The 26,946-nt window shown below is 39.2% G+C and overlaps 2 long non-coding RNA genes and 1 pseudogene across 5 annotated transcripts in view; 2 read left to right on the top strand and 1 right to left on the bottom strand.

Annotated features, from left to right (window-relative positions):
• The window catches only part of LOC107985705 (uncharacterized), a 32,916-nt gene continuing 6,715 nt past the window's right edge, over positions 746-26,946 (bottom strand). Inside the window, exons 1-3 of one of the 2 annotated variants that reach the window (XR_001755967.2) lie at positions 15,146-19,842; positions 13,150-13,353; positions 746-2,667 (exon numbers count right to left, since the gene is read on the bottom strand). This is a non-coding gene — a long non-coding RNA (uncharacterized LOC107985705). Of the gene's footprint in view, positions 2,668-12,485; positions 13,354-15,145; positions 23,536-26,946 lie in introns of those variants that run through there. The other variant, XR_007068335.1, reaches the window with a different exon arrangement.
• Positions 6,932-26,946, top strand: part of LOC102723546 (uncharacterized) — a 40,882-nt gene continuing 20,867 nt past the window's right edge. The window contains exons 1-3 of one of the 3 annotated variants that reach the window (XR_001755966.2): positions 9,170-9,214; positions 9,332-9,412; positions 19,838-19,969. This is a non-coding gene — a long non-coding RNA (uncharacterized LOC102723546). Of the gene's footprint in view, positions 9,413-19,837; positions 19,970-26,946 lie in introns of all 3 variants that reach the window. The other 2 variants (XR_938590.3, XR_938589.3) reach the window with 2 other exon arrangements.
• OR5BH1P (olfactory receptor family 5 subfamily BH member 1 pseudogene) lies at positions 10,029-10,937 on the top strand (annotated as a pseudogene).

Raw genomic sequence — 26,946 nt, 5'->3', positions numbered from 1 at the left:
TTTTCCTTGTGGGAAATATAGACCTTGGTTCTAGGTTTTTGGGAGCCATGTAAGAAAAGACGGTTGGTGATCTCAATATGTAGTATATAGCTAGATGTTCACTTAATCTCACACTCAGCTCTGTATGAGACACCCAATCCTAACACTCTGTATTTTATTTATCAGAGACTAAATCTCCACTCTTCTGTAAGAGAGAAGTATGTAGGGTAATGATGAGCTGTGAATAATGAAGGAGGGGAATTGGAAGCTTATTGGTTCTTAAACCATCTTTCAACCAATCCCTCTGTTTTCAGCTCCACTTTCGCCCTCACTTACGGAAGTACCTGATGCTTCCTTGGTGCAAATTGTTCTTAATTTCCTCAATGCTGGTTTAAGATTCCAGTTTATTAGGCCTGCTAATCAGCTGATATTTGCTCTTTTGCCTTTCTATTCCTAAAAGTTGCTGTCTCATACTCTTTCCTGTTTTTCTTTTTCCTCATGGGTTTATGCCACTAAAATAATTATCTTATGTCATTTATAGATAAGTATGAGTGCCTGGTTCACTCTCTTTAACTATAAACTTTTATTTATTTTTCATCATGGCCTTTAACATTTTCATTATAGCATTGTCATTGTATTATATATTTATATGTTTGCTAATTATCTTTCTCTGTCCACTAGTATACATGTTTATGAGAATAGGGACATTGTCTGTCTTGTTGACTATACATCCCTAGTGTCTAGGACATAATAGACATCCAGTAAGTTTTTGAATAAATTAATTTTGCATATTTTATTATTTTGAAAAATATATTTGTAGTCATAACATCTGATAGCATTTGTGGAAAAATAGATATATACATATAGCAAGTTAGTCAAATAAAAATGAGATAATTAGCAACTCGAAGAAAAGTGGTGTACAAGACAAGTTACACAAATAAAATTTTACTACATAAAATTTCAAGTTTTGGTACATATTCTTGTTTACATCTAAAAAGATCAACTAGCTATACATAATTGATTTTTAGGTAGTAAGAACAGCCAAAAAATGGAGACGAAGTAACAGGTTGTTGTAGTAGTCCAGGTGAGAAAAGATTATGACCTGTTAAAGCGAGGTACAAAGAATTGACCAGAATTAAGAGGAATTTAGAAGATAGAATTAGAAGGACTTGGTTACATTTAGGTAAGGGAGGAGGTGAAATAGAAGGAGATATAAAGCTATTAAGGATTTCTTGTAGGTTTCTGGCTAAACAGTGGTACCCTTCATTCAGATGATCAGACTAACTTGAAGGGAGACAAAGGTAGATATGGGGAGACAAATAGTGACATTCATCTGTCTTGCTGCTCCCTCGATTACTCAAATGTTTCTGTTTGTTTAGTTATTTTGTCTTGAAATTTAGAAAAAGTGTTTTAGCTTGAGTTACTCAGATTTCCAGTATTCTGTTTTTCTGTTCTTAATAGACTTAGCTAATATAGTGTATAAAAATCATTATTATTTTTGTCTGACACCACAAACTGTTAATAGCAACATGGCCTATTGGAAAGAGTATCAGTTGGGTGTGTAAAATATACCATCCTGGGATTTGATGACCTGGATCCTAGACAGCTCTGTCATTAACTCTCTGTGTGACTTCGGACTAGTCATATAAACTTCATTTTCCTCATATGTAAAATCGAGTTGTTAATATAGTAATTACACTCTTGATAATCCATTCTTTAATTGAAAAAGTGGAGAAGATCCATGTTTATTTTTAGATATAGAAAGAATATTTATAGGTAAGAAATGTACAAATATGTTCTGGAGACAATGCTCCAGTTGGCCTATGAAGCAGTTAAGTGTGGCTACCATTTATTGAGAATCCGTCACATGCCATTTGCTTTATGTATGTTTTCTTATTTAATCATCGCAATAAGCATATAAGGGCTTTTTATTTCCATTTTATAGAGGAAAGGTGAGGATTAGAGAGGGTGACTCGGCCAAAGTAACACTACTAGTTAGTGGTAAATCCAAGATTCAGGCCCAAGTATTTTTGCTACAAAGCCAACATATTTTCTATTTTGTAATGCTATATTTTGTACATAGCTGGTTGCCTCTGAAATAAGTCTCCAAACTTTGACTCATTGAATCTTAGAAGTGGAAAAAAACTTCTGCAAATTGTCTCTCCAATCTCTTGATTTACAAAAGAGGAAATGAGGACCATTATTAGACAATGGTTAGATAACCAGTTAGTGCCACGGCCAGTGTCCATCTCTTCAGACAATCTGACCACTGCTCCTTCTAATTTGGGAACCTGAACATAGTGCCTGATTCAAACCAACGCAGAGCTGTTTGTTCCATCACTGGTTTACTGATTTCACAGGGATGTTAGGACAATAAAATTATTATAATAGAATTGAGCAGCATTTGGATAAAAATACATTGGTGGGAGGCTTTTTTTTTAACATTTGCACAAACACAAGATATGATTAAGAAAATGGAGCCTATTACACAGTAACCTTTCAATTAGTCTCAGATTCCCTCAGGGGAGAATGATTCTTTATTACATGATGTATATTGTTTGTCTTGAACACCACACAGTTAGTTGGCCCATGAGTGGCCATTTATATGGAGAGAAGTCCAAGAAGCTAAATGCCTCAGTCTTTCCAGGAGAAATAATTGGGGGAGATGGGTGAAATGCTGAAGATCTCCTTAAAAAAATAACAAGAAATTGTAGATGAGTATGATAGCCTTGTGCAATTTGTTGAAATCCCACAAAGTGTGGAGGCGGCATCAACAGTGGGATGGGCCTTTTCACTGACAGCCACTGATTTTGACCATACAATAAAAACTGGTCTATTTTCACGTGTCTGACTGGGACCTATAACTTGAAAAACTTCAGGCAGAGAGACAAGTTTTTCTTTGAGTAATCCTAAATTGCTTTTCACATTTCTATTTTATGTTTGCAGAGGGAACACACAATAAATTTGGGTAAGAATGTAGCAGGCAGAAATCAGAGCCGATGAATTCCAAGGTTACATAAACTAAGGTTCCCAATCCCGGCTGCTGTTCTTTTTCCCCGTCAGTAGACTTAGTAAAACAAGACAGATGTTCTGAGCACTCCTAACTCCTGTACCATTACGCACGGATTTGGGAAACTAGACATTGCGATTGTTTTGTTGAAATAGAAGAGGATTTAGTGGGCTAGGGTGTGAGGGGGAGAGAGGCTGAAGGTGTGGTGGGGTGGGGGAGAAAGTGACCCATCAAGCAGATAACTTGTGTTCATATGAGATATAAGAGCGGAGGAAGCACAGAATACAGCCCCCTGCGGTAACCACAAGCAACTACCACTCTTACTTTCTGAAGACATTGCAGGAACCCAGTGCTCACAGCGCTCCTGACCCTGAGAGTTTAATCCCAGAGAAAGATCAGAGCAAATGCCTGTAAGTTTGACTTAGCACTCACCTTTATATAGTGTTGTTGACTTTTTAAAATTTTGGAACTTGAGCAACCTTACTGAATCAAACATTGTGGATATCCAGCATGCTGAGTGCCCGCCTAACCTTTTTAATGTACAGACATGGTTTTATGTGTCTTGAAGTTAGTTCACAAATATATTTTTTTTTGGTTGTTTCTGGTGATTACATAGATATCTAGTCTGTTAATATCCAAAAGTGTGTTTATCCATCCCCCAGTTATTAGGTATTTGGAATTTTTCATGGAATGAACTTTCCTCTTTTAACCACTCTCATCCTTCATCAAACTCTACTCACCTTTCAAGGCCTATGTTCAGTGCTACCTCCTCCATGAAACCTTTCTTCTCCCCACCCCACCCTGGTCCACTCCCCAGTCCCTCTTCTTTGTTCCTGTAGTACTTTGCCTTTATTTCCATGAAAGAAAAAGTTAAACATACATTGCCTTTCCTGTTATATTATAGGTTCCATGAGGGCAGTGATTGCAGTGCCTTATACATAAATGAATCCCCTAAGCATATAACATGGTGATTTACAGATATATGTATACAGTAGATGAATATTTAAATAGCAACATAATGAACATTTTTGCATAACTTATTTTCATTTATTTTATATCTTTGGAAGTGAAAGATATAATATCTAAATGAAATTACCTGGGCAAATTGTTATAATATGTTCTGGAAATGAACATTGCCAGTAATAATTTACATGGTTACCTATTTCCTAACAAACAGTTGTCTTTATTATATACATGCCTGCCAAGTTGGGGAAAGCTTTGTGTTTTAATTTGTGTTTTGCTGAAGTTGTATGTTTTGTTATGTAATTTTATACTCAATGCGTTCTCTACTGCGCATGCTATCCATTCTCTTTGACCATGAGAATGTATCAAGTGAGCTTCATACATTGATCTTATATGTTTTATTATTTCTTTATTTGTTTTGACTAGTGTGTTTTATTGGGCTGGTGCAAAAGCAATTGCAGTTTTTGCCATTACTTTTATGGTAAAAACCACAATTATTTTTGCACCAGCCTAATAAAAGTTCTGCTCACAGCATATTTTTCCCTTTTGATTATTTCTTTTTTGATCTTCATTTTACTATAGTACAGCACGCAAAAGATTTTTAGTCATATATTTGAACCCACCATCCTGGTTCTGAACACATCATTCTGGCTTTGATGACACCTCATTTTTTTCAATGGCCACAATAGCTAGAGAAACAATGCTGTTATGTTTTTCTTTTCCTAGTTTCACGCTTAGATTTTTATGTTTAACTTTTAATCTATCTGAATTTTATTAAAGCATATGATGTGTTACATATTCAGCTTCACTTTTCTTACTAATTTTCCCAATAGCATTTACTTGTTTTTGCTCCCTTTATGTGTGTGTTTTAGCCTACCAGAAAAAATTTTTTTAATATAAGAGTTTGGCTCTCTTTCTCTAAAATACACTATTCCTTGATCAATTTTTGCTTTTGACCCAATGCCAAAGAGTCTTTGTATATGTGTGGCTTTGTAATAAAGTTTAAAACCTGAGAGACTATCTACCATCATTACACAAAAGAAGATATTTTGGCATCTTTGTCTTTTTATTCTTCCAGATGAATTTCACTATAAGTTTGTCATGATCTGTAAAGTATCCTGTAGAATATTTAGTTGGTATTGCATTAAGTCTATACATTAACTTAAAGAGTATTGTCTGTCTTTCTCACAGTTTTAGCCTTGCCCATCAGGAGTACTGTGTCTCCATTTATTCATGTCTTTCTTTATTTCTCCAATTATGATTTTATCATCTGAATACATTTCTTTTGTCAGTGTTAAATTTTTCAAAGTACTCTTAAATTGATAATCTCATTCAGTGCTTACCAGAACTCTGCTGTAGGTCAGTAGATTAGATGTATCCAAGGATGACTGATCTATAATAAACCCTTTTTTCCCCCAATATTCATCATGATTCTTTTTTGGTAACAGCTTTATTGAGATATAATTCAAATACCATACAATTCGCACATCTAAAGTATGCAATTCAGGCCAGCCGTGGTGGCTCACGCCTGTAATCCCAGCACTCTGGGAAGCCGAGGTGGGTGGATCACTTGAGGTTAGGAGTTTGAGGCCAGCCTGGCCAACATGGTGAAACCCCACCTCTACTAAAAATACAAAAATTAGCTGGCCTGGTGGCAGGCACCTGTAATCCCAGCTACTCAGGAGGCTGAGGTGGAAGAATCACTTGAACCCAGGAGGCAGAGGTTGTGGTGAGCTGAGATCACACCACTGCACTCCAGCCTGGGTGATTGATAGAGTGAGACTCCATCTGAAAAAAAAAAAAAAAAGTATGTGGTTCAATAGTTGTTGGTATATTCAGTGGTGTGCCACCATCACAATCAATTTTAGAACATCTTCATCACCTGAAAAAGAAATTCCATGCCACCCATTCCTGTACCACTCTTCAAGACCCTGGTAACCACTAATCTGCCTTCTGTTTCTGTAGATTTGTCTATTTCTGGACATTTTATCTAAGTTGAATCATACCATAAAAATGGAGGAGCAGCAAAGGCAACATTTATTAAGCACCTAGATATCAGTTAAGCACTTTATGTATTTTGTCTTATTTAATCATCAAAATAATCGTGTAAATTAGGTAACATTATTTCCATTTTAGACAAGCAAATTGATGGCAAAGAGGTTGAGCAGTTTGCCCAATCATACTATTAGGATGTGCCTGGATGCTTTGACAAGATCTTTGACCATGTTCTTTCTGCCTTAAGGTAGTTAGGAAATTTGGAAAACATCCCTCCCATGCTCTTCCCTCAGTGGTCTTTAGTTCCTTGAACAGAGACCGAAAGTAAATATGACATTTCTGATGCAGTGAGGGCTGAAAGAGCAGAGAAAGGTGGAGTGGTTTGTATAGCATAGACCACAGAAATTTGCTCTCCCAGCTTCTCTATTAGGTGTTGAGAATAATCAGTGATCTGTGTACAGTATGACTCACAGAGCCATAGGAAATTAGAGCTCATAGCTGGAAAGAGCCTCAGAGACCACCTAGTCTAGTTGCTCCATTTTATTGATGAAGAAACTAGGACCCAAAAAGAGCAAGCAATTTGCTCAAGATCATATAGCTCAAACACAGTGACAGAGAATGACCTTTTATCTGTTATTGGAAGAATAAATATACCAAAGGTGAAAGTCCGCTCCAGAATAACTTCAGAAAATAAGAAAGAAGAGAGATAGTGTTACAAAGTCACTGAATTAGGTCAGGAGATCTGGGTTCCAACACCAGCTCTGTCGCTAATTCACTGTGAGGTCTCCAGCAAGTCCCTTGACCTCTCTGGACTTGTTTGTTTCTTCACCCGGAAATGGGCGGATAGGAATAGATGATATTTTGGAAGCCTGACATTTATTAACCACTGAAGAAATTTTATTGAATAGGTAAATAAGTGAACCTTTACTTAAATTCTAAATGTTAGGCTATTTTTAGAAGATTCACAGTGAACTACATAACTAAAGAACTGATAAAGGGGTAATCAATTTTTTTTAAGAACCAGTACTGAAAATAATATAATTGCTTCCAGGGACAAATACATGAATTCACTTTTTAAAAACATGAAGGGTCACTTCTTCAATAAATAGGAGTGCTTGATTATTTCCAACAGGTAAACATCCAAGATACATTAGCCAAAATAATAATAAAACTGTTCTGGCTGCTATCATGACACTAGTGAATGCAGTGGCACATGGGAATGGGAATATCAAATCATTTCCTTCATAAAGTCATAATTTTGTCTGTTTATTTCCTTTGGGAAGAACAAGAAATTCTGTCTTATAAAAAAGATTTCATCATGTTTTAGGGGCTAATAGAGAGTCACTTACTCTTTGAAATAATATTTATTTATTAAATACCTGCAGAGCATGGGAACATCAAGAAATAGAGTTATCCTAAAATGGGAAATTTTTAAAATGATACAAGAACATGAAACTAACATTAAAAATTATTTTTTACGATACAATATAAGTGAACAGCTTAGAGCTGTTTGTTTCAAGCCTCCCAGGTTGAAACTTTCACAGTAGAGAGGCAGAGCAGATGATGTGTGTGTAGGGGGTGTGTGGGAGGGCAAAGAGTGCAACTCTGTAAGCAGGAACTGGAGGAGGCAACAGAAAATTATCATCTTGCCATCTTCCTCCTCCCTCTCCCACCTTCCATGATGGAATAATAATAGGGATCCATTCCATGTGTATTGTATCACCCTTCAGAGTTTACAGAGTGCTTTCACATTCATTATCTTATCATGCCAACCCTAAAAGAGAGGCATAGTAGGTATTTTTTTTTTTTACCATTTTCTAGATGAGAAAATATGGGGCTCAAAGAGGTTAAGTGGCTTTTCTATAGCTGAATGACAATACAAATTAATTAGTGCCAGGACTAGAACTCATGTCTTTGTCTCTGAAAACAGTTCTCTTTCCATAACCTTCATTCAGCCCCAAATTTTCTCCCTGAGTCTTTCCATTTAATCGTGTAAGTTGCTGAATGTTCCCCTGGGTGGGGTGCTGTGTTGAGTAGCAGCAGGAGCAGCTGCAGCGGCAGCGGAAGTTAACACTCACAGTTTGGGTAGAGCAAAAATGAGTGAATTACCATCACAAGTGAAAGACCCTTCTTTCATCCATTCTGAGCAAAGTCTCTCTCTCTCTCTCTCTCTGTGTGTGTGTGTGTGTGTGTGTGTGTGTGCGCGCGCGCGCGTGTGTGTAATAGGGAGTGGAGTATGGAAATTATACTTCAGTATACTTCAGCTAGTCTGTCAAAGGTTCACTTCTGTCCATCTAAAATAATAATAATGTGGACACATAATACCTCTGCTTCCATTTGGTAAAATAGGGAGAAAAAAAGTAGTAAATGGGAGTGGTCATGAAGGAATGGAGAAAGTAGGAATCAGTGAGCATCTAACATGTGCCAAGTGCTTTACTTACAATACTTTATTCAATCTTCACAATTGTCCAGTGACATACGTTCTACTAGTGCCCCTCCCTTACAGATTTGTAAATTCAAGTTTAGATAGGTTAAGTCCTAGGTTACAGAGCCAGTGATCTCCCGATCCAGGATTCAAAGAGATTCTTATAGCTCCAGAATTGGTTATTTTACTGCCAAGTAAAGAACCTGTGTCTTATGGTGAATGGAAACAGCAATGGCTTTCTTTTCTTTTTTTATTATTTTAGATTTGGGGGTACATATGCAGATTTGTTATATGGGTATATTGCGTAACACTGAGGTTTGGGCTTCAGTTGAATCCATCATGTAGTTAGTGAACCTCGTATGCAATAGGTAGTTTTTCAACCTTTGCTCCAATCCTTTCCTTTCCACATTTGGAGTCCCCAGTGTCTGTTGTTTCCAAGATTGCCCTTTTAACCAATGGTCAGAGACTCAAATGTCCCCTCGTCTACCTATAGCCAAATACAGCAATCCCTTCTAGACACCACTTACCGATGGCTGTCCAGTGAGCCATAGGGGCTCGGAGTTAGTTTAGATTTTATAAATGGAGGTGGACTCATCCCTTCTCTTATCTGGCACTTCACTCAGGGCATTTGTTCGAGGCAGCAAGCCAGCATCAGAGATAATCTATCACTATAGAAGAGAGGAACAGTGACCATGCACTTAGCCCCAGTGGCACCTGATGCCAACCATTGTGCAATCTGGTCCTTTGCTCAGACATGTCTGCTCAATAAGTCCTTGTAGAATTCACAGTCAGTTTTACAGCTGCATTACCTTTGCCCCAAGCATGGTTAGAGGAATCAGCAGGTGACGATCAGCCAGGAGCTACATAATTTCTGAGGGGTTTGGTCATTCTTTGGTTTCTCTTTCACAGGATACAAGTGATGCCTTCAAATTTGAGCTCAGTTTCTTATGGTCGTTTAGGAGCATGAGGGTTTCTGCAATAATCTACCAGTGAAATGATGATCAAGATCTTGGAAAGCACTCTACTGGTCAAGCAGAATAGTGAGTATTGACTTCTGCTGTCTCAGAAATAATGTCACAAATACTCAAAGGGGGGGAACTATCTGTGAAGATGGAATGAGTTAACATTTTTGCCCTATTGTTACCTCATTTTCAATAATTCCTTGGGCATGATTTGGAAAAGGGAGAGAGAGTGATATATAATTCCATAGCATGGATTGTTTTTTTTCTAAGAGTTTGTAGTCCTGTTTCAGTAAAGAGCATCTCTTGACGACACCCATTTTCTTTCTCCCTCACTTATTCATTCCTTCAATAAATATTATCAAACACCTTTTGCAGACTAGACTTTTACTTTTTTCCCTTTGTTCCTTTTATTTCTGAATTTTTTTTTACCTTCTTTCCCCACCCTCCCCTTTTCCTTCAGCATTTACATTTTCAATGTTATACCTGGAAAATGGTGATAATATTTGAGAAGTTATTTAAAGTAAGAATGTAGATGAGAGGCAGGGTTGGAGAATTTTGTGGATTTGTGTGTTTTGTGTGGTATCATTTTATCCATATCATCCAGTTTTCTCTTATTTTCTCGCTTAAAGAGTGTCTAAAGAACTTTTAACTACTTAAGGATAATTCTCAGCTTGTGCCAGTGGAAAATTCACCCATGGTGACTGACTTCATCTTTCTCGGCATGACAGATAACTCTCAGCTTGAAGTCCTGCTATTTGGAGTCTTTCTTATTGCTTACATCATCACTGTGTTGGAGAATCTAGGCCTTGTGGTTCTGATCAGAGTCAGCTCCCGCCTCCACACCCCATGTACTTTTTCCTCTCTAATCAGTCCTTCCTTGATGTCTGTTTCTCTTCCATTACAATTCCACAGAATTTAGCACATTTGTTTTCTAAGCTGCAGTATGTTTCTTTCCTTTTCCCGTATAACTTAAATGAGCTTGTTTGTAATCTTTGCCTCTGCTGAATGCAATTTTTTAAACTTGCATGGCCTATGACCGCTTTACTGCCATCTGTCACCCACTGTTCTACCACATTACCATGTCAAGAGGCCATTATCTTTTCTTGGTAGCAGGATGCTACCTTGGTGGGTTAGTTAAGATGGTCACTGTGACAACTTCCATCACACAACTATCGCTTTGTCAACCATGTGTCCTCCCTGCCTTCTTCTGTGACATTCCCTCATTGTTGGTACTGGTTTGCTCAGATCCTTGGATCACCTCCCGATCTTGGTGGTTGGCTGTGGGGGATTCACCCTGGTCACCTCTGTTGTGGTGATCCTTGTCTCCTACATGTCTTCCCTCATGACTATCCTAGGAATTCCCTTAGCTTCTGGAAAACAGAGAGCCTTCTCCACCTGTGCCTCCCACTTGACTGCTGTTAGCCTGTACTATGAAACAACTATGTACACTTACTTGCCCGCCTCGCGACATGGATCCGGGGCAGGAAATCAGATTGTGTCAGTATTTTATACAATGGTGATCCCCATGTTAAATCCTCTCATCTATAGTTTGAGAAATGAGGAAGTGAAAGTTGCCCTATGAAAAACATTGAGACATAGTCCTTAATCTTCTATTGAGTGTCTCAAAAATGCAAAATATTCTGTGAAGACTTGCTCACGGTTTTATTCACAGTGTTTTTCTTGCCTGCAAATGAAGTCTTCTTAAGAAAAACTGAATTACTCTAACTAATTGTTTAAAAGTAGTTGTCTAGATCAACAGCAACACCGTAGGCAGAAATTATATAAACAAAATAATATATATTTTATGAAACAATTGTCTGATAAGAAATATTTAGGAGGGAAATATGTATGTGAGTATAAATATGTCAGTTTGAGTGGTAAGCCTGTGTGATAACCCTAGTCATGAGTTAAAATAATTCCAAGATAACAAGGTTAGGAAACTATATAATTTGACTGTAAGTTATAGAAGAGAACATGGATGACAACTGGGATGCAAATAACTTTGCTGTACCATGCATGTCCTTATATTGAGGATTTACTTAGTGCTCCAAAGACTGAATTAAGTTCAGTACGTGTCTGTCATAAAGATTCAGGACACTTCTAAATGTTTCTATTCCAAATGCTCTACCACCACTGCACTGTGAGACTTAAAAATGTAAGCATATACATGAATTCTCATGTGCAATTATTGAGATTTGTAGGGGTGAATCTTAAATAGGGTGATAGCTAAATAATAGATTGGGCTCACTAATTAGAGTTTGCAAATCCTTTGTAAAGAACAATGAATCATTGGTTAGTAGGAACTCCAGGCCGGAATTGCAGCTATAATTTTTCTATATGCAAATTCTGAGTGGACCAGGGCCAAGTCCATTGCTATTCTTGAATATACTTCTAACATACAATGCAAGTGTAAATAAAACCCCAATTAATTCATTAGTCCATGGCTAACTCATTCTCAGAATTTGTAAGGTTGCATGAAATTCCTGGATATTGCTATTTTGTGTAAATATATTGAACAACAAGATATTTTTATAAGCTTACAATCTTATATATGAATAATACAAAACCTTAAGCTCTTTTATAAATGAGAAAACTAATGCCTAAAGAAGAGAAGGTGACCAAAATCAAACAACTAGTTGGAGAGAAATAATCAAATTGGTCAAGCTGCAAGGAAAAGCAGAAAGTAGCATTTATCTATATCTAGGTTAGTGCCTAATCTATAATCTAGGGATCTTTGAGTTCTAAGAATAGTTTTTCTTCTGCCTCTACTACTCCCAGAAACTATATAGCCCTAGTAGCCATCTTCCAAAAAACCCTAAACCCTAGTTTTGAGTGTGGCAGTGCGGTTTACTTGGTAGCCATGTGAAACCCAGTTCCCTTAGAGCTTCAGATCCTTATATCCAACTACCAGTTGGAACCTGCAATTGGTAGCTTCTCAGGCACTTCAAATTTATTATCTCAAAAATTGAACCCTTCTAAACCTGATGCTCTTCTTTCCTTGTCCCCTACCTATGTGAATGGCACCATCCAGTTTTTTGAGCCCTAAACTTGAGTCAACCCTTAACACTTCCTTTCCCTCCACTCGCTACATTCAGTCAATCACCAAATCCTGTCAATTCTCCCTCACAAATGCCTCCACCATCACTGGCACACTCTTTTTTTTTTTTTTTTTTTTTTTTTTTTGCCAGGATTAGCTAAATGGTCCTTTAACCCTTCTCCCTGAATCCATCCCGGATTTTGTGAAATCTACTTTCACACAACAACCACAGAGGTTTAAATGTAAATCCGACCACATCAGCCTTCTTCTACCCTCCAAATTGCTTAAAATTTCCACGTCTCTCTTTGCCTATAAGATAAATTTGAAACTCGTAAATATGATATGTAAATCTCTCCATGCCCTGTTTGTCCAAGTTCTATTCATTTACTAAATCCAAATTTAAATCCTATCTTCGTTTCTAGGTAGCTTTTCCTGACATTTCAGAGGAAACTGAGTGTGCATATTCTGTTCTCCCATTGCACTTTGCATGCCTTTTGTAGCATTATGACGCTTGCCCTTCTTATGAAATTCTTTGTGCAATTTTCTGATATTCTGTTTTGTCTGCCTAGATTGAAACCCTTTAAGTGGATAGAGCCATTTTTTTTTTTTTTTTTGGCTCCCACCTAGGTCCCACACAGGGCCTGGTTATCTGGTAATGGTTCAAAAAACATTAGCAGAATTGAAATTCACTCACAGCTAACCTTCCTTATTCATCCATTTTCTCCACCAGGCATGGTTATAGCTTGTTGTGCAATGGAGGAAAGGTAGAAAATCTTACCTCCTGGGACACCAGCTTCTACATGGTCCTTGTGGTTTGGCAGATGTTTCTTGTTGACACTGTCGCTCCAAAATAAGGAATCTGAACCTCTTTTTGTTCATTGCTTTTACCTTCCAGCTCAATACTACCCAGGTCAATCCCTTGTCCTCCCTGGATTTCTGCTCTTCTCTGGTAACTGGCTCAAGGACATGGAAGATTTTTTTCCTGGAATAAAAGTGCATTTGTTTCCTTTGTGAGGTTCATGATTAGAAACTCTCAGAATCTGAAGTCAGAGGTGAAAGGGCCCATAGTGAGAATTTAGACTGATGGATTTTAATTTTTTAAGCATTGGAATGATTTTTTAAAAATAATTTTAAATACAGAACAAAAATTTACAAAACATGAAAGTGGAAGATGTTTGGCTGAAGAAAGTATGGGGCACCCATAGCCTAGTACTCACTTCTCCATCCCTGAGGCACCTCTACAGAAACTCAAGAACAGTTTGAAAACACTAGAGTAATCAAATCTGCTTTTTTTCACAAATGAGAAAACAGCATCCCCAAGGAAAGGCACCATTCTGGAGATCACTCAGCTAGTCAGTGGCAGAGGCAGAATTAGCATTCAGATTTCCTGATTCACGACCTTAGAATACTGTCTACTACAGCCCTTTCATGTTGTGTGATGCTTAACAAGCTGGAAGGGTGAACAAAATGGGCCTTATCAGACTGAATTGCAGACACTGACTTAGCATCTATCTCTTTGGCTAGTTGAAGTGTCCCCCACCCTCCAAACAGCCCTAGAAATACCAGAGACAACTACAGCCTCATCAGCCTTCACCATTTCTATATGGGAAATGGTAGATCTCAGAGGATAGCAAAATTCTTTAGTAATAGAGTGTCCTTGTAGGCAGGACTAGCTACATAATTTGTAGGCCCAATGCAAAATGTAAATGTGAAGCTCCATGTTGAAAAAAACAGGAAGAAGTGCTATTAAAGGTGCTCAGATATAAAGCTTTGTTTTTCTCTCTTCTGCAGTCTCTCTCTCAACCTGCCATGCTGTTTTTGTTATTTAATGCCACACCTGCACAGGCACAGGGATATTTGTGGAGCAAGTGCAGAACTTCATAAGTGGGCAGTGATTCTGCCCAGTGACTCGCTGCCCATGTGCATGACTCACTTGTTACTGGATTTTTCCTTATATCAGCTTCTGCACAGATAGGTGCATCATGCTCTGTTCAGCATGGAGGAAGTGAAACCAGGTATATCCCGTTCCCATGGGCAGGCTGCCCCAACCCACTGTGGTCAGGCAACCACCAAGAGTATTACAACTTCTGCACAGTATGCACTAGGTGTCTGGATTGGAGTGGGCAATAGGCTCTGCTGGATAACCTGCCAAATGCACCATGACACTGCTCACTTGGGGCCAGATTGCTGTTATCATGTCCAACTGTGAGATTTTGCAGAGTGTGTATGACCCCAATTCTCCTTGTGCCCTGGCTCAGTTCCCTTGTGTGGAGGGTTGTAGCTATTACTGGGCAGGATAGAGAAGGGGAGGCTGGATGGGGTCCTGAGTACTAAGAAAGAAGCGAGTGACAGCTAAAAACCTACCCCAGGGAAGTGGAGAGGTGGTGAAAAGTGGGACTGTGTGTTATCAGATATTCCAAACTCCCAGTGAATACTCGATTGTCCCATTGGATTTTGCATTTCACTTATGCTAATATTCAAATTATTTAAAATTTCAAGACAGTGACATTAAACTTTAAGTGCAGAGCACTCCTAAGCTCAAGGTCTTGTACAATCACATGCTCATGAAGCCAGCCCTGCTCACAGAGAGGGGTTTCTTTTATCTTTGTCAGGCAGTATAATGTAGTGGTTAGGAGTACAAGCTCTAGAATCAGACTGCCAGACTTTGAAACCCATTTCTCTTACTTCCAAATTCTGTGATGTTAGACAAGTTACTTAACCTTTTTATCTCTCAGTTTTCTTATTTGTAAGATAAGAATAATAACATTACTCACTTCTTAAATTTGCTGCGAGGTTTAAATGCGATGATGCATTCACATTGGTTAGAATAGTATCCAGACATCGCACACACTCAATAACTGTTTCATGTTATCATTTATAGCTTGCCAGATTCAACATTTTTTAGATGTCCAATGCAGGTATCAGGTTTTATTTACTCTGGATCTGCTGCAGACCTGTGCTCCAAATGGTATTTACCCAGCTTCTACAGCGTATAACCAGACTTGGTCTCCAGTGGCCTCTCAGGCTCCAGTGGCCTCTCAGGCTTAAGGGGAACTCCACTAGATCTGTACAAACAAAGCGAACCCAGTCAGGTTTCTCTGGTAGAGTTTTTTCCTTCACAGGCTCAGCACCCATCCAAGTCAGTGTTTGGCCTCACTATGCTAGGTCTCAAGACCACCAAATTCAGCCTCAGGGACAACACACCCACTTCTGCTGCTTGGCCAACATGTTCTCAGGAAAGGGATATCCTATTGTCTCATAAATAGTGGTCCCTGGTCATTTGGCTACTGGAAACAGCTATGTAAGTGAATCTCTGGGGTCTCTACCTCAGTCCTGCTGCACCAGTGCCAGCCCTTAAAGGTATGGACATTCTAGGGGACTTGGAGTTAGAACAAGATTTTTAACCAGTGGAGCCTAATCCAGGCCTTTAGGGGGGTAACAAGGCCTCTTGAAGTGAGAGGATGAGGGAGTGTGGGCAATGGGTGAGGGAGGTGGGGGACAAGGACTCTATGAGACATGTCAGCAACTCTGTCCCCTCAGGTGTTACAAGAGGATAAATACTGACCCCTCTCTCCATCTGCTGGTGACAGTAGCAGAAGAAGCTGAGCCTTGCTTTCCAGGGAGCTCTCAGCACATCTGCATGGTCTCCTCTGCCCCCCAGCACACTCAGGGTGAGCTCAGTCAGCTTCCCTGGTCGGCAGGGGGTGGGGGCAGGGGGGCTGCTCCAGCTATTCTGGGCTGGGCATCCCTCCCTGGTGCTGCTCTGGGTGGTGGTGCTCAGAGCAGCATCTGGTCCTGGGCTCTCTGATAGAAGGACCCTGCCGAGACAGTCCCTAGGCTGGATCCGGGGACCTGAGCAAATGAGCAGGTATTGAGGGAAAGGATAGTTTGGGGGGCCCAGTGGCAAGATGCTATAACCCCAAAGGCAGGGCAGCAGAGTCAGCTGGCTGTGTGGTCCCCAGCTTCTGTCCAAGGCAAGGACATCCCAGAGACTCCTTTGGCCTAAAGCTGACACTTCTGTCAACCCACTGGGATTCTTGGAGGTATCCAGTCAGCAGCATCTGATTCAGGGAGGAATGTTCGAGACTGGGTAGTGACTGGCCTCCTGGGTAGTGACTGACCTGCTGGCCAAGCCCCCATGAGTCAGGGAAAATGGCTGGCGTAAACCTGGCATCCTTGCAAGGGCCCTGGAGCTCGGAACTGGCTGGGGTCTACCTCACACTGCAAGAGTGAAGATCTAAGGGTGGAGTTCTGGGACCCAGGGCACTAAGCAAGAGCAGTAGGGAGAGATACCAGGCTTCTGAGGAGTAAGGAGCCATGTTCTATGATTCTGAAAACATGACTAGGATGAGATTTAGTAGAAAACGGAAATAACCAAGTCCATTAACAAACATTTTCTGCGTGCACATCGTGTGCACTGACTTATTCTTGGGTGTATAGCAGTACAGGAAAGAGAGTGGGGAGGGGGTGGGAGATGCCAAAGGAAATAGGAGACATGGCCCTTTCTCTTGGGGAGCATAAAATAAGGGCCCCAGAAGAGAAAATGTTTAAGCACTTGAAGAAAAAGCAAAATAGAAATTGGTTTTACTTGAAAAGTGATATGTAAAATGATTCTTTCAAACTCAGTAAGTTTCCACTTCCATTTTAATTTTAGAGATAGGTTCCTACTTTAAAAAGTAACCTCAATTCATAACAATAAAGGTGTTAATTTCTCTTCAGTAAGAATTGTCACCTTTTCCACACATGCTGGTTGACCTTGATAACTAATTGAATTATCTAAAATTACTTTTTCCTGACTATAAAAGAATTACACACTCATTATTGAGAAATTGGAAAATATGGAGAAGGAAGGGGAACATATAAATTGATCAATCTTGGCACCTAGAGACAATCACTGTTAGCACTTTGGTGTCCTTTTAATCTTCCATTTAAAATATATTCATGGGGGGTGTGTGTGTGTGTGTGTGTGTGTAAATGTGTTTGTAATAGAATAATAATGTAATACGGTTTTTTACCCTGCTCTTTTCACTTAAAATATATCGGGAAAAATATGCACATCAATAAGCATTTTTCCCCTTGAGTTTAATGATTGATTGTGTAATACAACAATGTATGGATGAACCCTGATGACTAATTGTTAACAAAGAACTTTGAAAAGACTGATTGATAGGAAGAACACATAGCTGACAACAGCTTCTATCAATATGCTCAAGCAAGAGTGAAATACACAATTTGGAATTTGACTGCATTTTATTAAATGCAGAAATAAAAACATAGGCTAAATGACATTACTGGGAAGATTTGCCTTCTATGATCAAACCTCTCGTAAACACAAAGGCTTTAAATGAAACTTCAGTTTGAACAGGCGGACAGGAGAAATGACTGGAATTCTGAAAGATTTTACCAGACATTTGTCCTCAGATTATGCAGTGGAACATGCAGACTACCTTGGCACGGGCACTGAAACCAGCCTATCTCAGCCCAGTAAGTGTCTACCCCAAGGATGGGGGTCAAGGGGAATCAGGCAAACACCCTGAGTCTATAGCACAGGCTGAGAGCAGTCAGGTGGGAGGTGAGGGGTAGAAGGACATGTGCATGATCTGGAGCAGAGGGCCAACTGACAATGTTAAGAATAATGAATCCTTATGGATATGGTATAGTGGGAACTAAAGGCTTCCAAGTCACAGAGGAGGAGGAAAGAAGACCAACTTGACCAAAGGAGGAATATCACAGAAGTCATCAGTAGTGGGAGTTGCAGAACAGATTTGTAAAGACACTTTTGATGCTTGGAAAATAGGTTAGACAGGACCCTGGCCATGGGAACCGAAAGTGGGAGAAATCTAAGCAGGACAGAGAGGTAAATGGGGAGTGAATCCAAAAAGCATGGCGGTCCAGTTGCCTTACTATAGTGATAGCATGAAGGAGAAGGAGCAGCCCAAAAGAAAAAGATAAAAAGAAAGGTAAATCTGAGGAGGATTATTCATCTCTAGAATGAACTTTACCATAACACTGGAATTACCTCCCACAGGTACCAAATGACAACTAGGACAAAACTTCTAAGATGCAAACTCAGGGACCTGATAGATATTCTGGCTCAGTCACCTCTTTCAAGTTTCTGAAGATTTCAGTTCCTAATACTCTGAGTTGTCACAAAATCAGGATAGGCACTTTGCAGTTATCCCAAGGGGCAAAACCAATTCACATCATCTCAAATTCATTTAAAGCCATGTTTAATTAACATAACATTTAATTCTACTTTAATTACTTTTAAGAACCCACATATTGCTTCAGGGAATTAATAAAATTAGACAAAATTAGCATGTCACAACATGAAGCATGTTGGGAATCATTAGTCTAAACCATCTGGATAGATAACTGTCTCCTTTGTACTTGATTATTGTCCACATTGAAAACCCTAATTCTACCCACCTTCTCTTCCACCTACCTCCAGTAGATATTGTTTTGAGAGCTGGGAGGTCTTTTGTTTGTCCAACAATGTTCACTTATCTTTAAATTCAGCCTCTGATCAATCCAAAGGCACGATAGTCTCAGTTTCCTCATATAAAACCTAAAGGTAATCACAGTTTCTTTCTCTCTAGGTTATTGTGGAAACTCAATAAGATTATGTATACAATTGGTATTAATGAAAAAATTGTCATTACTAGTAGAACTTGTGCCTGGGGGAGATGCCGGGCAGTATGTCTTCATTTAAATAGTGGAAAAAACAGAATGCAATAAGGATAATGACCACTAACAGGAGACAGCTTTGGGAGGCTTTGCAACTCCATTTTATGAAAAAGACTAGTGGATAGTAGAATTAGAATTATTCTTAACTGAAGGGTATGATCTCCACATCCATACTCACAAGACACAAACATCACCTGTAATTCCTTACAACATCCATTGAGCGTGTGGTGTCCTGGTCCCAGGCTGCAGAAAAACCAACAAGACATCTTCAAAACCGCAGAGCCCATGTGGGTGGGAAAGGCTAAACAGGGGGATGCAGAACCTTGGGAATGAGATATCGCTACTTCTTTGAATGTGATTGGAAGTGATAAATGGCACAGTGGTGGCAGATGAACATAGATTCAATTCAGGGTAAAGGAAGAGCCATCCTCTTCAAGGATCAGATATGACTTCCATTGTTCAGTGCCTGAAGTTGGGACTTTGTTATTTCTGCTTCAACAGAGAAAGGATAATTTTGGTAGCTTTCAATCTCATTAAGTGCTTTCCTATCCTCTTCCTCTAACTCACTTTTCCCTCATTTCCATTTTAAAAATTTCTCATAGAGAAATATAATACAGTGGGAAGAGCAGGGGCTCTGAATCTAGGCAGGCATAATATCTAAACTACTTGAAGTTTTGGTTGCTATGAATCCATGAGCCTTCCAATCCTTTGTTTGTTTCCTTGTCTCTGACCTGATTCCCTGACTACTTCTCTTTCTCATGATCCTCTTTGGTTTCTAGGTTCCTGTCATCTCCATTAAGAATCAGCTTATTGGCCGGGCGCAGTGGCTCATGCCTGTAATCCCAGCACTTTGGGAGGCTGAGGCGGGTGGATCACGAGGTCAGGAGATCGAGACCATCCTGTCTAACAAGGTAAAACCCCGTCTCTACTAAAAATACAAAAAATTAGCCAGGCGAGGTGGCGGGCACCTGTAGTCCAAGCTACGCGGGGTGCTGATGCAGGAGAATGGCGTGAACCCTGGGGGGCAGAGCCCGCAGTGAGCCAAGATCACGCCACTGCACTCCAGCCTGGGTGAAGGAGCGAGAGTCCATCTAAAAAAAAAAAAAAAAAAAGAATCAGCTTATTAGCAAGAATGTGGAGAAACTGGAAAGTTCAATTTCCCATTGTGGAAATGCAAAACGGTATATCCACTGTATAAAACAGACAGTCCCTCAAAAGGTTACATGTTGATTATAATTTAACATGGTTAAAATGTGACCTAGCATTTCCTTTCTGGTGTATCTAGCAAAGAAAAAATGGAAATATATGTCCACACAAAAAATTGTACAATAATTTTCACAGAAACATTATTTAAAATAGCCCAAAGTTGAAAAGAACCCAACATGTTTATCCATGTCCATCAATGGATGAATGGATAAACACACTGTGGTACATCCATACAATGGAATATTATTCAATCATGAAAAGGAATGACGTACTGATACATGCCGCATGTATGAGTCCATTCTTGCATTGCTATAAAGAACTACCTGAGACTGGGTAATTTATAAAGAAAAGATGTTTAATTGAGTCACAGTTCTGCAGGCTGTACAGGAAACATGGCTGGGGCGGCCTCAGGAAACTTACAATCGTGGTGGAAAGTGAAGGGGAAGCAGGCATGTCCTACATGGCAGAAGCAGGAGGAAGAGAGTGCCAAGGGGGAGGTGCTACACACCATTAAACAACCAGATCTCATGAGAACTCACTCACTATCACAAGAACAGCAAGGAGGAAATCCACCCTCATAATCCAATTACATCCCACCAGGCCCCTCCTCCAACAATGGAGATTATAATTCAACATGAGATTTGGGCGAGGACACAAATCCAAACCATATCTAGGAATGAAGTACTGATACATCCTGCAACATAGATGAACCCTGAAAACACCATACCAAATGGAAAAAGCCATATAGAAAAGGCTGCATATTGTATAACTCTATACTTATGTGAAATGTCCAGAATAGGTAAATCTATAAAGACAGAAAGTAGATTAGTGCCTGCCAGGGGCTAGGGCAGGGAGAGAATTGGAAGTGACTGATTATGGGTACAGGGCTTCCCTTTGGGATGGTGAAAATGTTCTAAAACTAAATTGTGGTGATGGTTGCACAGTTCTGTAAATACATTAAAAATCTATACGTTAAATGGGTGTTACGTTAAATAGGTAAAATCTATATGTTAAATGGCTGTATACGTTAAATGGGTGAATTTTATGGCATGTGAATTTTATCTCAATAAATCTATTAAAGGAAAAAGAATTGTCACATCATCACTGTTAGCAATCAATGGCAATGTGAATTGAGTCACTATGACTGGATTAATATTTAAGGTTTCCCTTAAGAGTATGGTTGGACAAACATGCCAGAATGGCTACCTAAACAAAATTACTTTCATGATTTTAAGCAGGAAAAAGTCTGTTAAGTTTGGACGTCCAGATATATATGAATTCAGAGGCTGCACTCCTAACTCGTTATGTTCTCACTTCTAACTTTTATATGCACAATTATCAAATAAATAATTAGATTTCCTTAAAAAGCAAACTATATAATTTGCTACAAAACAGAAAATGAAAAAAAAAAACTCACAGAATGGGAGAAAAAACTTGAATATCATATGTCTGATCAGGCTCTTATAAATATCCAAAATATATAAAGGTATATGAGGTATATTACTTCACACTCACTAGGATGGTTATAATCAGACATATAATAACAAGTGCTGGCAAGGAGTTGGAGGAAACAGAACTCTCACACATTACTGGTGAGAATGTAAAATGGTTCAACCACTTCAGAAAATAGCCTGACTGTCCCTCAAAAGGTTCAACAGAATTTCCATGTGGACCAGCAATTCTCCTCCTAGGCATATATCTAAAATAATTCAATACATAGATATACACATAAACGTGTACATAAATGCTCATAGCAGCATTATTTGTAGTAATTAAAAGGCAAAAATGACTCAAATGTCCATCAACTGATGAATGGATAACCAAAATATGGCATATCCATAAAATGGAATATTATTTGGCAATAAAAAATGAAGTACTGCTACGTGCTACAACATGAATAAACCTGAAATCATTATGCTAAGTAAAAGAAGCCAGACACAAAAGACCACACATTGTATGAATCCACTTATACGAAATGTTCAGAATAGGTAAATCCATAGAGAGAGAAGGTGTATTAGTGGTTGCCATGGGCTAGGGAAGAAGAGATTAGGAGTGACTGCTAAAGGATGTAAGATTTGGGGAAGGATGTTAAAAATATCTTAAAATTGATTGTGGTAATGGTTGCACAACTCTGTTAATATACTAAAAACCTTTAACTTGTACAATGTAAACAGCCAGGTTTGATGTAAATATGTGATCTTTCTCAAAAAGGCTGTTATCTAAGAAAATAATCAGTCAATCTAGCTCTGACTAGGTGTCATTATAAGTAGTGTTATTTTAGGAGCCATAGAATCATTCTCTGGGACTGATACTTCTAACCAGAAGGAAATAATGGAACATTTGCTTCATAGAAGGAAGATCTACCCCCTAAACAAACTCTCTCTGCTTCTTAAGTTATACAAGGTAAAATTCCAAATTGTGTTTAAATACCACATTCATGTAAGAAAACATTTTAAAATGGTAGTAAACAGTCAGACTCCACATCTTGATTGGAGTGGCAAGGATTTGTGAACATGTTTTCAATCCACCACATCAAATATTTTTTGTTTAATGACTGCATGATATTTCATAGCATAAATGCACAATAATTGAATCAGTCTCCTATTGATGGACATTTAGGTTATAGTCCATCTTTTGCTACTGCAACAATGTACAATAAATATCCTTTTGTATAAGTATTTTAAAATATGTGTAGGTATATCTGTAGTGTAAATTCATCAAACTGGAGTTGCTGGACCAAATAAAATGTGATTTCAGAGAGTTTACAGCTCCATCAACAATATATGAGGTTATTTTCTCATATTTTTATTATATTATCATAAATTAATATATTATCAAACCTCTTAATCTTAACATTTGGAGTATGTAAAGACATGTTCAGTGTTCTGTGAACTGTTGCTCATTTTCTTTTGCCCATTTTTTGAATAGGCTGTTGGTCATTTTTCTTATTGACTGCTAGGAACTTTCCATATGTTAAGAAACTTAGTCTTTGTAATAGGTGTTGCAGATATTCCCCCCCCACCAAAGTTTTATATTTTCAACATTGATTACAGTAGAGTTTCTTTTTCTATGAAGAGTTTTCAAAGTTTTCGAAGAATAAATTTTTGTTTATTGATTTTCTGTATTGTTTTTCTCTTGTCAACCCTATTGACTTCTGCTCTTACCTTTATTATTTCCATCCTTATGCTTGCTTTGGATTTATTTTGCTCTTCTTTTTCTTGTTTCTTGAGGTGGGAGTTTAAGTTATTGATTGGAGACTATTTCCTCTTGGCTAAAATAAAAAATTACTGCTGTAAATTTCCTGCTTATCACTGCATTAGCTGCATCCCAAAAATTTTGATACATTGTATTTTCATTTCATTTACTTCAGTGCATTTATTTACTTCCCTCGAGGCTTTCTTTTGGCTGATGAATTACTTAGAAAGATGTTGTTTAGTTTCCAATGTGTTTTGAAAATTTGCTGTTATTTTTTCTATGTTCCATTGTGGTAAGAGAGCATATACTGTATGATTTCAATTTTTAAAAATTTGTCAATATTTGTTTTATGGTCCAGGAGATGGTCTATCTTGGTGAATGTTCCATGAGTGCTTGAAAAGAATGTGTATTCTGCTGTTGTTAGGTGGAATACTCTATAAATATCAATTAGATGTCCTTCAGTGGGTGAATAAACAAATAGTGGCATATTCGTATCATAGATTATTAGTGGCCAATAAAAACAGAACAATGATACGCAGAACAACTTGGATGGATTTCAGGTTAATTTGCTTTAGTTGAAATAGCCAATACCAAAAGGGTACATGCTGTATGATTCCATTTTTATAACATGCTACTAATGACAAAACTAAAGATGAAAAGATTTCTGATTGCCAAGGGTTAGGGCTGAGGAGAGGTTGTGACTATGAAAAAGTAGCATGAGGGAGTTTGCATTGATGCAACATTCTGAATCTCGATTACGGTGGTGGTGACATGAATCAATATATGTGTTAAGATTTCTTAAAGCTACATATAAAAAACAAACAAAAATGCATGCATGTTAAAACTGGTGATTTCCAAATAAATTCTGTAGTTAACAGTATTGTAACAACTTCACTTTCCTGTATTTGGTAACGAACTATGCTTATGTAAGTTGTTATCTTTGGAAGAGGCTGGGTTAAGGGCATTCAAGAACTCTGGAATATTTTGGTAAGATTTTGTGAATCTAAACTTATTTCAAAATAAAAACTTACAAAAACAAAAAAAATATATCAATTAGATAAAATTGATAGTACCATTCAGATCATCTATATTTTTACTGATTTTCTGCCTGCTCGCTCTATCAATTACTGGCACAGGTGTTGAAATCTCCAGATACAGGGGGAGGAGCCAAGATGGCTGAATAGGAACAGCTCTGGTCTACAGCTCCCAGCGTGAGCAACGCAGAAGACGGGTGATTTCTGCATTTCCATCTGAGGTACCGGGTGCATCTCACTAGGGAGTGCCAGACAGTGGGCGCAGGTCAGTGGGTGCACGCACCGTGCGCGAGCCGAAGCCGGGCAAGGCATTGCCTCACTCGGGAAGCGCAACGGGTCAGGGAGTTCCCTTTCCGAGTCAAAGAAAGGGGTGACGGACGCACCTGGAAAATCGGGTCACTCCCACCTGAATACTGCGCTTTTCCGACCGGCTTAAAAAACAGCGCACCACAAGATTATATCCTGCACCTGGCTCGGAGGGTCCTACGCTCACGGAGTCTCGCTGATTGCTAGCACAGCAGTCTGAGATCAAACTGCAAGGCGGCAGCGAGGCTGGGGGAGGGGCGCCCGACATTGCCCAGGCTTGATTAGGTAAACAAAGCAGCTGGGAAGCTCCAACTGGGTGGAGCCCACCACAGCTCAAGGAGGCCTGCCTGCCTCTGTAGGCTCCACCTCTGGGGGCAGGGCACAGACAAACAAAAAGACAGCAGTAACCTCTGCAGACTTAAATGTCCCTGTCTGACAGCTTTGAAGAGAGCAGTGGTTCTCCCAGCACGCAGCCGGAGATCTGAGAACGGGCAGACTGCCTCCTCAAGTGGTTCCCTGACCCCTGACCCCCGAGCAGCCTAACTGGGAGGCACCCCCCAGCAGCGGCAGACTGACACCTCACAAGGCCGGGTACTCCAACAGACCTGCAGCTGAGCGTCCTGTCTGTTAGAAGGAAAACCAACAAACAGAAAGGACATCCACACCAAAAGCCCATCTGTACATCACTATCATCAAAGACCAGAAGTAGATAAAACCACAAAGATGGGGAAAAAACAGAAACTCTAGAAAAACTGGAAACTCTAAAAAGCAGAGCAACACTCCTCCTCCAAAGGAACGCAGTTCCTCACCAGCAACGGAACAAAGCTGGACAGAGAATGACTTTGACGAGCTGAGAGAAGAAGGCTTTGGACGATCAAATTACTCCGAGCTATGGGAGGACATTCAAACCAAAGGCAAAGAAGCTGAAAACTTTGAAAAAAATTTAGAAGAATGTATAACTAGAATAACCAATACAGAGAAGTGCTTAAAGGAGCTGATGGAGCTGAAAGCCAAGGCTCGAGAACTACGTGAAGAATGCAGAAGCCTCAGGAGCCAATGCAATCAACTGGAAGAAAGGGTATCAGCGATGGAAGATGAAATGAATGAAATGAAGTGAGAAGGGAAGTTTAGAGAAAAAAGAATAAAAAGAAATGAGCAAAGCCTCCAAGAAATATGGGACTATGTGAAAAGACCAAATCTACGTCTGATTGGTGTACCTGAAAGTGATGGGGAGAATGGAACCAAGTTGGAAAACACTCTGCAGGATATTAACCAGGAGAACTTCCCCAATCTAGCAAGGCAGGCCAACGTTCAGATTCAGGAATTACAGAGAACGCCACAAAGATACTCCTCGAGAAGAGCAACTCCAAGACACATAATTGTCAGATTCACCAAAGTTGAAATGAAGGAAAAAATGTTAAGGGCAGCCAGAGAGAAAGGTTGGGTTACCCTCAAAGGGAAGCCCATCAGACTAACAGCGGATCTCTTGGCAGAAACTCTACAAGCCAGAAGAGAGTGGGGGCCAATATTCAACATTCTTAAAGAAAAGAATTTTCAACCCAGAATTTCATATCCAGCCAAACTAAGCTTCATAAGTGAAGGAGAAATAAAATACTTTACAGACAAGCAAATGCTGAGAGATTTTGTCACCACCAGGCCTGCCCTAAAAGAGCTCCTGAAGGAAGCGCTAAACATGGAAAGGAACAACTGGTACCAGCCGCGGCAAAATCATGCCAAAATGTAAAGACCATCGAGACTAGGAAGAAACTGCATCAACTAACAAGCAAAATAACCAGCTAACATCATCATGACAGGATCAAATTCACACATAACAATATTAACTTTAAATGTAAATGGACTAAATGCTCCAATTAAAAGACACAGACTGGCAAATTGGATAAAGAGTCAAGACCCATCAGTGCGCTGTATTCAGGAAACCCATCTCACATGCAGAGACACACATAGGCTCAAAATAAAAGGATGGAGGAAGATCTACCAAGCAAATGGAAAACAAAAAAAGGCAGGGGTTGCAATCCTAGTCTCTGATAAAACAGACTTTCAACCAACAAAGATCAAAAGAGAAAAAGAAGGCCATTACATAATGGTAAAGGGATCAATTCAACAAGAAGAGCTAACTATCCTAAATA

This window comes from Homo sapiens, chromosome X (assembly GCF_000001405.40).
Source record: "Homo sapiens chromosome X, GRCh38.p14 Primary Assembly".
In the NCBI taxonomy this organism is placed as follows: domain Eukaryota; kingdom Metazoa; phylum Chordata; class Mammalia; order Primates; family Hominidae; genus Homo; species Homo sapiens.
Note: the sequence above shows the minus strand (reverse complement) of the source record. Positions and strands in the feature narration are given on the sequence as shown.